At 49.8% G+C, this 14494-nt stretch overlaps 1 protein-coding gene across 5 annotated transcripts in view, besides 3 other annotated features; it reads right to left on the reverse strand.

The window, feature by feature from the left end:
- DHX37 (DEAH-box helicase 37) overlaps positions 1-10459 on the reverse strand; it is a 42306-nt gene extending 31847 nt beyond the window's left edge. For all 5 annotated transcript variants that reach the window (NM_032656.4, XM_005253590.4, XM_047429218.1 and 2 more), the window contains exons 1-4: positions 10245-10459; positions 7424-7593; positions 3839-3951; positions 1818-2166 (exon numbers count right to left, since the gene is read on the reverse strand). In NM_032656.4, the coding sequence (NP_116045.2) occupies positions 1818-2166; positions 3839-3951; positions 7424-7593; positions 10245-10350 (738 nt within the window). In that variant the 5' untranslated portion in view covers positions 10351-10459. The remainder of the gene's footprint in view (positions 1-1817; positions 2167-3838; positions 3952-7423; positions 7594-10244) is intronic.
- Positions 8379-8922: an enhancer, noted in NCBI's record as "H3K4me1 hESC enhancer chr12:125471597-125472140 (GRCh37/hg19 assembly coordinates)". NCBI's record gives its function as "activates a minimal SCP1, AML or CMV promoter by ChIP-STARR-seq in primed H9 embryonic stem cells {active_cell/tissue: H9 hESC(primed)}" and the evidence as "EXISTENCE:reporter gene assay evidence [ECO:0000049][PMID:30033119]".
- Positions 10163-10372: a silencer, noted in NCBI's record as "silent region_5073". NCBI's record gives its function as "represses an Ori minimal core promoter by ATAC-STARR-seq in GM12878 lymphoblastoid cells {active_cell/tissue: GM12878}" and the evidence as "EXISTENCE:reporter gene assay evidence [ECO:0000049][PMID:35858748]".
- Positions 13543-14043: an enhancer, noted in NCBI's record as "H3K4me1 hESC enhancer chr12:125476761-125477261 (GRCh37/hg19 assembly coordinates)". NCBI's record gives its function as "activates a minimal SCP1, AML or CMV promoter by ChIP-STARR-seq in naive H9 embryonic stem cells {active_cell/tissue: H9 hESC(naive)}" and the evidence as "EXISTENCE:reporter gene assay evidence [ECO:0000049][PMID:30033119]".

Consider the following 14494-nt stretch of genomic DNA (forward strand, 5'->3'; position numbering starts at 1 on the left):
CCCAGCGACTTGAGAGGCCAAGGCAGAGGACTGCTTGAGGTCAGGAATTCAAGACCAGCCTGGGCAACATAGCCAGACTCTGTCTCTACAAAAAAATAAAAATAAAAAAGTTAGCCAGGCATGGTGGCACATATCTGTAGTGCCAGCTACTCAGGAGGCTGAGGTGGGAGGACCGCTTGAGCCCAGGAGGTAGAGGCTGCAGTGAACTGTGATCACACCACTGCACTCCAGCCTGGGTAACAGAACAAGACACTGTCTCAAAAAAAAAAAAAAGATTAAAAGCTACTCAATTCATGACCCAAAGATGGCTATCACGTCATTTGCAAACACTGCCCAAGAGAAACTTCTGCACATGCGCTCATAGGAGAGGGACAAGAACGTTTAAAAAAGCAGTGAAGGCTAGTCATGTGCTCATGCCTGTAATCCCAGCACTTTAGGAGGCCAAAGTGGGCAGATTGCCTGAGTTTGGGAGTTGCCTGAGCTTGGGAGTTCAAGACCAGCCTGGGCAACATGGCAAAACCCCGTCTCTACAAAAAAAATACAAAGTTAGCCAAGCGTAGTAGCGTGTGCCCACAGTCCCAGGCTCTTTGGGAGGGTGAGGCAGGAGGGTCACTTGAGCCTCGGAGGCGGAGGTTGCAGTCAGCTGAGATCAAACCTCTGCACTTTAGCCTGGGTGACAGAGTGAGACCCTGTTTCAAACGAACAAACAACAAAAACAGCAGTGAAGATAACAGCAAAAAGCTAAAACAACCAACTATCCAGCAACAGAATACTCATCCTGCGCTATATTCACACCGTGAATACTCGATAGCAGTGGGGAAAAAGTAAATGAGCCTCAGCTGCCTGCATCAACATGGATGTATCCCAAGATATAATGCTGAGTAACAAAAAAGCAAACTGGAATAACGTAAAGGACATGATGCCACTTTTAAATACAGGCAAACCTACGGTATGTATTGCTTAGGAATATGGACAGGATACGAATAGGGAAAAATTCACAAAGAAAAGCAGGAACTGAAGTCCCAAGGGATGGCAGGGACACGGGATGGAGGAGGCCAAGCCCCTGAGTGACCGCGCGGAGCAGAACCCCACACCCTCCTTGCCACCAGATGGCACTGGGTGATGACATCACCTAGAAGCAAACGTTTGTGGTGTGAAGCCACTGGCACTTTGGGGTCATTTGCTAGAGCGGTCAGCTTACCCTGATGAAGACTTATAAAAGCAGAAAAATGTACTTAGAAGCAGGATCCCAATTCCATTCAACGGCCAACATTACTCCTCTAGGGATCCAGAGTTCCTACGTGGGCTGTGGGCTTTCCATGCCCCAAATCCTTTCATTGTCATCACAACCCAGTGAGACACTCATTGTACCAGGAAGGAAACAGGCACAGAGAGGGGGAGCCCCTTCAGTAGCCGGAATATTCCCATTTTACAGATGCGCGGGAAGTGAGCTGGAGAGCAGGGGAATCAGCACTTGATTTCGGGTCAACTGATTCACAGCCCAAACTCTTGTCTGGATCGGGGCAGCCCAGGCCAGGCCCGCTGGTCAGAGGGCAGTGGCGATGAAGCTACTGCCGCCGACCTCCAGGGCCCCGAGCCTGCCAGGCGTGCCGCCAGACACCCGCCCTGCACTGTGATCCTCCTCGCGCACCAATCCCTGCCACAGCCTCAAGGGAGGCGCAGTCACTCTCCCCTTTCCCAGATGGGGACATGGAGGCACAGAGAAGGGATGCCCTTGCCCCACTTCACCAGGACGCCCTCTGTGCGCCCCTTGCCCGCTAACCTAGATTCTTAATCACAAACACGGGGTGGCGAACCTGCATTTCCGGGGAGCGGTTCACGGGGATGAAGACGGCGGGCTTAGCCAGGGCCCTGGGCAGTGGTGGGGCTGCAGCTGGAGGAGGAGGAACAGTCATCCCAGCCGGCACGGGCTGACTGCTGGGTGCTGGAGCTGGCGGCAGAGGTGCCACGGTGGTCCCCACACCAGCCTCAGCCGGCTCAGCAGCTGGGTCCTCGTCCAGCTCCGACTCCTCCTCCAGCTCCGATTCCGACTCCTCCTCCTCCTCCTCCTCCTCCTCAGCTGAGGGCCAGCGGCGACGCTTCCGGTGGGCACCGCTGAGGCTACTGATCTTCTCCTGGCCCGGGGCTACCACCTCGTCAGCCTTCCTGTTGAGATAGCAGAGACTTCAGGCACAGAGGCCCCACCTCAATCCCAGAGGTCAGGACTCCAAGGCCATACCCCTTTCTGCCTCAGGGACTTTGCACCTGCTGTTCCACTCCCTGAAATGCCCTTCCTGCAGATACCTCCTCTCACTCCACTTAAGCCTCTGCTTAAGCACTAGCTGTCAGGGAGACTCCCTGACCACACACAGACCCCACATCTCACCCTTCTCCCTCCACCTCGCTCTTCCCTGCTTCATTTTCTGCTCAGTGCTTCCCAGCGTGGGACACAGATGCACTCGCCTGATGACTTCCCACGATTACATCTCCCGCCATGACACTGGGAAGCTCCTTAAGAGAAAGGACTTTATTTCTGTGCACTGCTCTATCCCCAGGGCCTAGCAGAGAGCCTGGGACAGTCTCTGCACTCGATAAACAGTCACTAACTGACAGTGCTCACAGGCACCAGTCAGGCCTCATGTAAATGAGCAGCACAGGCTGAGGAGACCACAGAGTGGGGTGGGACTGGGTGGGAGGGGCACACAGGCCATTTAAGGGTCAGCAGCTTGGTGGGGACACTGCTGGTGTGGCCGGATCGTCCAACTAGTCGAGACTAGGTGGGAACATGAATTCACCTTGTCGCCCAGGACGGAGTGCAGTGGTGCAATCACGGCTCACTGTAGCTTCAACCTCCCAGGCTCAGGTGATCCTCCCACCTCAGCCGCCAGAGTAGCTGAGACCACAGGCATGAGCCACCATGCCCAGCTAATTTTTGTATTTTTAGTGGAGACAGGGTTTCACCATGTTGGCCATGCTAGTCTCAAACTCCTGACCTCAGGTGATCCACCCGCCTCGGCCTCCCAAAGTGCTAGGATTACAGGTATGAGCCACGGCACCCTTCTGGCTTGGTTGTTCTAAGCCACCGCTGTTTGCAGTAATTTGTTATGGCAGCGCCAGGAAGCTAACATATTGGCAAACAGCACTCATGCCTTAAAAAACGACACAAACCAGTCGGGCGCGGTGGCTCACGCCTGTAATCCCAGCACTTTGGGAGGCCGAGGCGGGCAGATCACCCAAGGTTGGGAGTTCGAGACCAGCCTGACCAACATGGAGAAACCCCGTCTCTACTAAAAATACAAAATTAGCCGGGCTTGGTGGTGCATGCCTGTAATCCCAGCTACTTGGGAGGCTGAGGCAGGAGAATCGCTTGAACCTGGGAGGTGGAGGTTGCGGTAAGCTGAGATCACGCCATTGCACTCCAGCCTGGGTGACAAAGCAAGACTCTGTCTCAAAAAAAAAAAACAAAAAAAAACACGACACAAACCAAACCAAACCCGCTGATGGGCCAAATCCAGCCCTTGACCACCTAATGGCAATTTCTGGCCTAATCAGCTGCACAAAAGCTGGAAGAGCTGTAACAAGGGACTCTACACCACAGGAAAACACCGACATCACTGGAGCGAGAAACTTTGCTGTCCTGTGTGTCGCAGAAGGTTCAGCAGCATCTGTGGCCTTTACCCACTAGAGGCATTTAGGATGACAATGAATTTTCAGCCACTCAGGCCACCATAAAGGTATTTTCTCAAATGTTCCACCCCCAGAGGACCCCATAACCTGTGCGCCCTCCCTAGGGGGCCCTGGAGGGAGGGCAGGGTTAGCAAAGGACTGGCCAACTCACTCTTTGGTGTGATACATGCGGTTCCCAGTGCCTAGCTTGGAAGTGGTATAAAAGAGTCTCATCTCAGCTTCGGAAGCCTGGACTTCACTCAGCTTCTGTAGCATCTCTGCTCGCTGGGAAAGGAAACGAGTGTATTATGCATTTGCCATCACGACCCTCTCTTAAGAAGGGAAGTGAGACTGTAATAAAATTTCAGCATCATTAACACCTGGAGTCTTTAAAATCGGCGGTCAAATTGCAATTCTACTGGTGCATGGTGTTCTTCCATCAACAGACACAGCAAGCTGGCTTTTTTAACCCCTTTTACAGAATCTGGGGTTGTATAAATGAGGTTCTCTGCAGCAGGGTATCACAGTAGAAGATTATGGCCCACCAGATGTCCATCAACAGGAGATGAATAAAGCACAGTTCAGTCATGTACAGCAGTGCTCCCTAGCTGCTCTGAGGAAGGAGGCGGCTTTGTGTGTCTGATGTGAATTGGTCCCCGAGCTACCCTGAGCAATGCTGTGTGCAGGGGGTGTACCCAGTTGGCTTCTTTTAGTTGGGTGAGGGTTTCGTGAGTTTTTACTTTATTGTTCTTGTAACTGTACATATAGGTTTTATACACACTTCTTTTGAGACAGAGTGTCGCTCTGTCACCCAGGCTGGAGTGCAGTGGTGCGATCTTGGCTCACTGCAAGCTCTGCCTCCTGGGTTCACGCCATTCTCCTGCCTCAGCCTCTCCAAGTAGCTGGGACTACAGGCGCCCGCCACCATGCCTGGCTAATTTTTTGTATTTTTAGTAGAGACGGGGTTTCACCGTGGTCTCGATCTCCTGACCTCATGATCTGCCCGCCTCGGCCTCCCAAAGTTCTGGGATTACAAGCGTGAGCCACCGCGCCCAGCCTACACACTTCTATGTGTGTATTACACACACACACACACACACACACACAGAACAAGGTATAGCACAGCGGGAAAGCACCCTAAATAGGATTTAAAAAGGACACACTGACCAGGCACAGTGGCTCACGCCTGCAATCTCAGCACTTTAGGAGGCCGAGGCGGGTGGATCACCTGAGGTCAGGAGTTCAAGACCAACCTAACCAACATGGTGAAACCATGTCTCTACTAAAAATACAAAAATTAGCCGGGCATGGTGGCGCATGCTTGTGGTACCAGCTACCCGGGAGGCTGAGGCAGGACAATGGCTTGAACCTGGGAGGCAGAGGTTGCAGTGAGCTGAGATCATACCACTGCACTCCAGCCTGGGCAACAGAGCAAGACCTTGTCTCCAAAAAAAAAAAAAAAAAGAACACGCTCACAGGTGAGTAAGTCTTCCCCCTACCAAGGCTCTGGGGACTGCCCATCCACGGCTGCTGGAGAGAGACCCTCAAGCCTCCTGATGTGAAGACACAGCTCCCACGTGCAGTGGCCTCACCAAAAGTCAAACTTGATTCTCATGAAGGCTCCAGGTCAGGGTTCCTCAATCTCAGCACTATTGACATTTAGGGCCAAATAAGTTTTTGTTTTTCTGTGCATTATAGGCTGTTAACAGCATCCCATGGCTCCACCCGCCAGATGCCAGCAGCACTCCCAAGTTGTCACAGCCCAAAATGTCTCAAGACACTGCCAAATGTCCCTGGGGCAGCGGGGGGCGGCGCGCAAAACTGTTCCGGATGACAGTCACTGCTACAGATCCAAATACTAATGTACAAAAAGCTCAGATGGCAGAGGAGCATGTTTAAAATAAAATTTTAAGGCTGGGCGCAGTGGCTCACGCCTATAATCCCTGCACTCGGGGAGGCCGAGGCAGGTGGGTCACTTCAGGTTGGGAGTTCAAGACCAGCCTGACCAACATGGAGAAACCCTGTCTCTATTAAAAATAACAAAGTTAGCCGGACGTGGTGGTGCATGCCTGTAATCCCAGCTACTCGGGAGGCTGAGGCAGGAGAATCACTTGAACCCGGGAGGTGGAGGTTGCGGTGCGCCGAGATCATGCCATTGCACTCCAGCCTGGGCAACAAGAGCAAAACTCCATCTCAAAAAATAATAAAATAAAATAAAAATTTAAAAATCCAGAAGGTAGGAAACTGTAAGACAAACAACAAATAAACTACAATGGGAAAAAAAAACAAGAAAAGGGTGAGGAGTATCCATGAAACAACAGGAAATTTAACCACTTGCTAGATGTTTGATATTAAAATAAAAGATTAGGTGTGCTAATGGTATTCTGGTCATTTTTAAAAGTCTCTACTTATAGAGATACAAATTGAAATATTTATGGATATAATGCTATGTATAGTGGGTTAAATGGCAGCCTCCCTCAAAGACGTGTTCGTATCCCAGAACTTGCGAACGTGACCCTATTTGGAAAAAGGTTTTGTAGATGTAATTACGTAATTACGTGAAGGATCTCAAGATGAGATGATCCTGAGTATCTGAGCGCGACCTAAATCCAATGAGAAGCGCCCTTCGAAGAGACACACGGAGGAAAGGCCGAGGGAAGAGGGAGGCAGAGATTGGAGTGACGCAGCCACAAGCCAAGGGAACGCCTGGAGCCGCCAGGAGCAGGAAGAGGCCAGGAATGACCCTCCCCTGAGCCCAGTGAGGAGCACCGCCCTGCCAATACCTTGATCTCGGACTTCTGGCCTCCTAAGCTGGGAAGGAACAAATTTCTATTGTCCTAAGCCCCTCAGTTTGTGGTCATTTGTATGACATCCCCAGGAAACTAGTACAGATTCACTGTATGTGGGATTTGCTTCAAAATGACCCAGAGGTGGGAAAGTGACCAGCAGTGGAGATAATCCAAGATTGACCAGGGGCTGATCAATGTTGGAGCTGGCGATGGGCACATGGGAGTTCATCATACTGTTCTCTTTACTCTTGCAAATGTTTGAATTTCCCTTGCAAATGTTTGAATTTCCCATGACAAACTTTTTTCCTCTATGAAAAAATTAAGGTTGGCTGGGCATGGTGGTTCACGCCTGTAATCCCAGCACTTTGGGAGGCCGAGGCGGGCGGATCACGAGGTCAGGATATCAAGATCATCCTGGCTAACATGATGAAACCCCGCCTCTACTAAAAATACAAAAAAAAAAAAAAAAAATAGCCTGACGTGGTGGCACGCGCCTGTAATCCCAGCTACACAGGAGGCTGAGGCAGGAGAATCACTTGATACCAGGAGAACCCAAGATCATTTCACTGCACTCCAGCCTGGGCAACAGAGCAAGACTCCATCTCAAAAAAAAAAAATTTTTTTAAGGTTTGGTAGAGCCAGAAAAGATGTCGGGGGTGGGGGAACAAAACAAAAAAGAAAAAAAAATTAAATTTAAATTAAAAAAAAAAAAAGAAGAAAAAACAAGGAAAAAAGTTTGACATTCTCCGGAACAGTTCAGTTCAGTTCCTCTGCCATAGTAGCTGCATTTCAAGTGCTCAACAGCAATATGTGGTTAGTGGCTACCGCACTGGACCATGCACTGGAATTTTCCTCATTCCAGAAAGTTCTATTAGTTGCACCACAGAGACACCCTCAGGAGGAGAGAGACCCCCCATCTCTCTCTATGCTGGAGAGCCACTTGCAGACCCTGCCCGAGTGGGGTGTACCTGGCTCTTTTTCTCCTTCTGTTCTAAGATTTTCTGCAGCACTTTCTTCTCCTTCTTGGTCAGAGGCTTCTTCTCCTTCTTCGACAGGGGAGGGGCTTTGGTCTTCTTTTTCTTCTTCCCCGGTAGAACGAGCGCGTTGCTTGCATCAACTCCCTTCAACGTGTCCTTGTCTGAGAGAGCACAGTTATTAAGTCCCCATTCTCCTTGAGGTAGCTCTGGTCCCGCCTCCCACAAGCCCCCTGACTTGCATGGGGGCCTCCTGAGTCTGCACACAGGAACAGGGGGATCTGTGAGCTCAAATCTATTTTCATAACAATACTATGATGTTCTCAAGGCTTGGCGCAGGGGCTCATGCCTGTAATCCCAGCACTTTGGGAGGCTGAGGCAGGTGGCTCACTTGAGGTCAGGAGTTCGAGACCAGCCTGGCCTATGTGGCGAAACCCTGTCTCTACTAAAAATACAAAAATTAGCCAGGTGTGGTGGTGGGTGCCTGCAATCCCAGCTATTTGGGAGGCTGAGACAGGAGAATCTCTTGAAACTGGGAGGTGGAGGTTGCAGTGAGCCGAGATCTTGCCACTGCACTCCAGCCTGGGCGACAGGGTGAGACTCCATCTCAAAAAAAAGAAAACCCCCCAAAAAATACTATGATTTTCTCTTTTTGTTTTTTTGAGACGGTGTCTCACTTTGTCCCCCAGACTAGAGTGCAGTGGCGCAATCTCAGCTCACTTCAACCTCCGCCTCCCAGGTTCCAGCAATTCTCCCGCCTCAGCCTCCCAAGTAGCTGGGATTACAGGCATGTACCACCACGCCCCAGCTAATTTTTGTATTTTTAGTAGAGACGGGGTTTTACCATCTTAGCCAGGCGGTCTCGAACTCCTGACCCCCAAGTGAGCCACCCGCCTCAGCCTCCCAAAGTGTTGGGATTACAGGCGTGAGCCACTGCACCCAGCCTGATGTTCTCCTAAGAGTGTACGGTGGGGCCGGGCGCGGTGGCGCACGCCTGCAATCCCAGCACTTTGGGAAAATCACCTGAGGCCAGGAGTTGGGGACCAGCCTGGCCAACATGGCAAAATCCCGTCTCTACAAAAAATACAAAAACTAGCCAGGTGTGATGGCATGCACCTATAATCCCAGCTACACAGGAGGCTGAGGCACGAGAACTGCTTGAACCCGGGAGGTGGAGGTTGCAGTGAGCAGAGATCACGCCACTGCACTCCAGCCTAGGCGACAGAGCAAGGCTCCATCTCAAATAAATAAATAAATAAAAGAAGGTAATCTGAGTCATGTTCTTATGAGATTCCTCTGGCCCCTGAGAAAGGCAGGGATACATGGAAATGTCCTGTTCTGATGTGAGAAACAACTTTCCCCAAATCTCTGGGTCTGAGAGACCTCAGCCCCTCTGCTCAGGTGGTCCAGTTCCAAGTGTCAGCCCAGTGTCTACGGCTGTCTTTGAGGTGCCATCCTGAATTGTCACTGCCATCATAACGGTTGTCACCTGTCCTGGGACACACCCCACCTCTGTAACCTTTCTTTACTTTTCAAAGCAACATATTTTCCCAAATTACCATCTCCAAAACTCTGATAGGAGGTAAGACGGCTACTACAGGTTAAATATCCCTTTCCAGAAATGCTAGGAACCAGACCTGTTTTAGCTTTAGGAACATCTGTATTCTATTCACTGGTTGAGCATCCCTAATCTAAAAATTTGAAATCTGGAATGCTCCAATGAGCATTTCCTTAAGTGTCATGTTGACACTCAAAAACTTTTGAATTTTGGAGTATTTTGGATTAAGGCTGCTCAACGTGTGCTACTGGTCCCATTCTGCAGATGTGAAAACGAAGGCACAGAGATGTTAGGGGATCTGCCTCAACTCCCAGCCTGTCTGTGGAACTTTTTTTTTTTTTTTTTTTTTTTTGAGATGGAGTCTCGCTCTCTCACCCAGGCTAGAGTACAGTGGTGCGATCTTGGCTCACTGCAACCTCCGTATCCTGGGTTCAAGCCATTCTCCTGCCTCAGCCTCCCAAGTAGCTGGGACTACAGGTGCCCACCACCACGCCTCCTCTGCTCTAAATGCTCCCATGGCTGCCCTCTCCCGTAGAGAAAAAGCCCCAGTCCTCGCCAAGACTGCAGTCCAGGCCCGACCTGCCCTGGCCCCCTGTTTTTTCTCTCATCTCCAGGCAGCCACTCAGGTCTCCTTCAGATCTTGACTCTAACAGAGTGATGTCTTCTCCAGCAACTCTATGGGATGCTGCAACCCACCCAATGGCCTCTTCTGTTTTATCTGCTCACTATAGCCGCATAAATTTCTATATGTTTATTCTTTGCCTGTCTCCTCCTATACAGCAGGTAAACTCAGGGATTTTCTAAAAATCTCCCTTTCTGCTATGTCTCCAGTGCCTAGAATAGTGCCTGGCATGTAATAAGGGCTACTCCTAAAAAGGGGTCTGAGAGAAATGTCAGCCAGCCTGGAGCTGAGCAGACAAGACTGGGCTGAAAATACACATTTGGGGGTCGCTGGAGATTATAAAGAGATTATAATCGAAGTCATGGGAAGGGATGGAACTACTCCTGTTTTTTTTGCCAAATTCTCCATGTTACTATTTGAGGGCGAGAGAAATCCCGGGTATTCCATATACACTGTTAAAACTAGGCTGTCACTAAGCCCCTCTCCTTTGGATCATCTGGAATGGGGGGACCCATTCCCCCATTCCAGATGATCCATCCCACCCCTCTGGGATCCCCACCCGAGAGTCCTGAAGGCAGGGCACAGGCCGCCCTGGGAAATCTCCGAAATCCAGCCCCGGTCCGGGGATGTCTTACCCTCCAGTTCCAGCTGCACGGGGGGCGGCTCGGGGGGGCCCTTCGAGGGTCCGGGGCCCGCCTGCTGGCGCCCCTTGATGTTGTAGCGCCGGCGCAGCTTCCCCATGGCGACTAGGCCAGGGTGGGCGCTCCAGCGGCCGGACCAGCAGAGCAATCCGAAACCCAGCCCACGTGGGTTCCCAGACCACCAACTCCGGCCGTGAGACTTCCGGGTTGTGTTATCGCGAGAACTGTAACTGACTTTGCCGCTGAGGGGCGGGGTTGCAAGAGAAACCCAGCGAAGAGGAGAGGCGGAGCCGGGCCGGGCAGGGGGCGGGACTATTTAGAGAAGTAGGCGGGGCCTGAGGTCCCAGCGGAGGCCGGAGTTTAAGTCCTGGGCTGTTCTCGCTTGGGGTAGTCTGGGTTTAAATATGAATTATATCTACTGATACTAATTTGGCTTCTTGGGAGTGGAAGTGTTTTGCCACCTTTTAAAATATACCCCGCCCCCAGTACTCCAAACTTCTTCCCCCCAACCCTGGTTTGCGCATCTGTATTTTCTGATATTCCTACAAGAAACGTATTAGTCGTGTACTTTTAAAAAGGCACCAAATATTTCCATCACAGGGATAGATGGAAGATCTAAAAGGAGGCCTCTACGGGCGCGGTGGCTCACGCCTGTAATCCCAGCACTTTTGGAGGCCGAGGCGGGCGGATCACGAGGTCAGGATTTCAAGACCAGCCTGGCCAAGATGGTGAAACCCCCGTCTCTACCAAAAATACAAAAAAAATTTAGCTAGGCCTGGTGGCAGGCGTCTGTAATCCCAGCTACTTGGGAGGCTGAGGCAGAGAATTGATTGAACCCGGGAGGTGGACGTTGCAGTGAGCCGAGACTGCACCACTGCACTTCAGCCTGGGCAACAGAGCTAGACTCTGTCTCAAAAAAAAAAAAATAAAGTTGTCTATTACATAACTTTAAATTCCCATTACCGCATCACATTGTAACACACTGGGAAACAATGCATTATTATTATTATTGAGACAAGGTCTGGCTTTGTTGCCCAGGCTGGAGTGTAGTGGAGCAATCTCGGCTCACTGCAACCTCTGCCTCCCGGGTTTAAACGATTCTCCTGCCTCAGCCTTCCGAGTAGCTGGGACTACAGGTGCCCGCCACCACCCCCAGCTAGTTTTTGTATTTTAGTAGAGACGGAGTTTCACCATGTTGGCCAGGCTGGTCTCAAACTCCTGACCTCGTGATCTGCCTGCCTGGGCCTCCCAAAGTGCTGGGATTACAGGCATGAGCCACCGCGCCCGACTTTTTTTTTTTTTTTTTTAAGAGATGAGATCTCGCCCTGTGGGCCAGGCCAGAGTGCAGTGGTGCAATCACCACTCGCTGCAGCCTTGACCTGTCCTCCCACCTCAGCCTCCTGAGTAGTTATGACTACAGGCACACACCACCACGACGGGCTAATTTTTCTATTTTTTTGTAGAGATGGTGTCTCCCTATGTTGCTTAGACTGGTCTCAAAATTCTGGGCTCAAGGGATCCGTTTGTCTCGGCCTCCCAAAGTGCCGGAATTACAGGCATAAGCCACTGTGAAGGCCTTAATGAATGACGTTTAAAAAAATCATAATTAGCGTATCAAATCTATGGGGTTTTTTGTTTGTTTGCTTGTTTTTGTTTTTTTGAGACAGAACTCTCCCTCTGACGCCCAGGCTGGAGTGTAGTGGAGCAGTCTCGGCTCACTGCAACCTCCACCTCTCGGGTTCAAGCGATTCTCCTGTCTCAGCCTTCCAAGTAGCTGGGATTACAGGCACCCACCAAGATGCCCATCTAATTTTTGTATTTTTAGTAGAGATGGGGTCTCACCATGTTGGCCAGGATGGTCTCAAACTCCTGACATCAAGTGATCGGCCCACCTTGGCCTCTCAAAATGATGAGATTACGGGCCTGAGCCACTGCACCCAGGCTCAAATCTGTGTTTTTATGGATTTTGTTGCTCAGGATGATAGTGATCTAAAGTTTCTTCTTTAAATATGTTTATTTAAATAAATTAAAAGTTTAAGAAACGTTTAAAAAATGTTAAGTAGGTAGTAGTACACTTGCCTATATTTCCTTCTAAAATATAATATATCAGTGAATTACCTTCCAGAAGGTATAGACCATTCTAGACAGCAAGAAGAAGGCAGATACATAACAGCATGGATGGATCTCACAAATATAAAGTTGAACAAAAGCTGGGCGTGGTGGCTCACGCCTGTAATTCCAGCACTTTGGGAGGCCAAGGCAGGCGGATCACCTGAGGTCAGGAGTTTGAGACCAGCCTGGCCAACATGGCGAAACCTGTCTCCACTAAAAATACAAACATTAGCCGGGTGTGGTGGCGCGTGCCTATAGTCCCAGCTACACGGAAGGCTGAGGCAGGAGAATCGCTTGAACCCCGGAGGCGGAGGTTGCAGTGAGCCGAGATCATGCCACTGCACTCCAGCCTGGGCAACAGAGCAAGACTCCGTCTCAAAAAATAAAAAATAAATAAAAAAAAAAGTTGAACAAAAGAAGCCAACCCCCAGAGTACTGTGTGGTTCATTTACATAAACTTCAAACACAGGCAAATGAATCCCCTAAATTTTAAGAGGAACATAGTGAATGGGAGGGGACAAAGGGAGGCTTCGTGGGGGAACTGGTAATGTTTCGTTTCTTGATTTGGGTGCTGGTTACCTTGGGTATTCAGTTTGTGAAAATTCATAAAAATTTATATGATTGTGTATTTTTCTGTATGTTATACCTTAATTAAAAAGTTTATTATTATTATTATTATTATCATTTTTTATAGAGATAGGTTTCACTATGTTGGCCAGGCTGGCCTCGAACTCCTGTGTTCAAGCAATCCTCCTGCCTTGGCCTCCCAAAACAAGCTTGTGCCACTACACCTGGCGTAAAAAAAGGTTTTTGTTTTGTTTTGTTTTGTTTTTGGGACGGAGTTTCACTCTTGTTGCCCAGGCTGGAGTGCAGTGGCTTAGTCTCGGCTCACTGCAACCTCCGCCTCCCAGGTTTAGGCGGTTGTCCTGCCTCAGCCTCCCGAGTAGCTGGGATCACAAGCAGGCACCACCATAACTGGCTCATTTTGGATTTTTTTTTTTTTTTTTTTTTTTTTTTGAGACGGAGTCTCGCTCTGTCGCCCAGGCTGGAGTGCAGTGGCACGATCTCGGCTCACTGCAACTTCCGCCTCCCGGGTTCACGCCATTCTTCTGCCTCAGGCTCTGAGTAGCTGGGACTACGGCGCCCGCCGCCACGCCCGGCTATTGTATTTTTAGTAGAGACGGGGTTTCACTGTGTTAGCCAGGATGGTCTCGATCTCCTGACCTCGTGATCCGCCCGCCTCGGCCTCCCAAATTGCTGACCTTGTGATCCGCCCGCCTCGGCCTCCCAAAGTGCTGGGATTACAGGCGTGAGCCACGGCGCCTGGCCTCATTTTGTATTTTTAGTAGAGACGGAGGGATTTCTCCATGTTGGTCAAGCTGGTCTCGAACTCCCGACCTCAGGTCACCCGCCTCAGCCTCCCAAAGTGCTGGAATCACAGGCGTTAACCACCGCACCCGACCTACAAAAAAGTTTTTAAAAAGATAAACAATACAGGAAAAAATGTGCAAAGGATATGAATAGGTAATTCACAGAGAAGTAATTCAAATGGCCAATAAATCTATGAAAATCTTACTAGGAATCCAGAAAATGTAAATTCAAAAATAAGAGCATTTTGTATTCTTTGGATTGGCAAAAATTGAGTTTTATTTTCTTGGTTGTCTAAAAAAAATGTTGGTTAGACTTGATTTGTTTGATTTAGGATGCAAACAGGGTCCTTGCATTGCATGGGTTATTATGGCTCTTAAGTCTTTAAAACCAATTATCCTCCTCTTCGCTCACCTTTTATACCAATTATTTATTGAACAAACTGGGTCGTTTGTTTGGTAGAATGCCCCACATGCTGGAGTTGGTTGGTTGCTTCTGCTGCTTCTAAGTTTTCCTTATCTGCCATATTTCCTGTAAACTGTAGGTTTGATCTAGAGGCCCCATCAGGTTCATGCTCAACTTGTCTTGGCAAGAATCCATCGCAGGTGGCGCTGGTACTTCCTGGCACTAAGATCGATTGGCGGGACCGGGACTTCGCGGCTTAGCCCCTCCATTTTCAAGTTCCCCGCCAAACCCTCCCCTCTTGGTTGTACCCATTTCTGATGATCATCGCGTGAATCCATCATTCTATTGAGGGGTGCCAA

Source organism: Homo sapiens, chromosome 12 (genome assembly GCF_000001405.40).
Source record: "Homo sapiens chromosome 12, GRCh38.p14 Primary Assembly".
In the NCBI taxonomy this organism is placed as follows: Eukaryota; Metazoa; Chordata; class Mammalia; order Primates; family Hominidae; genus Homo; species Homo sapiens.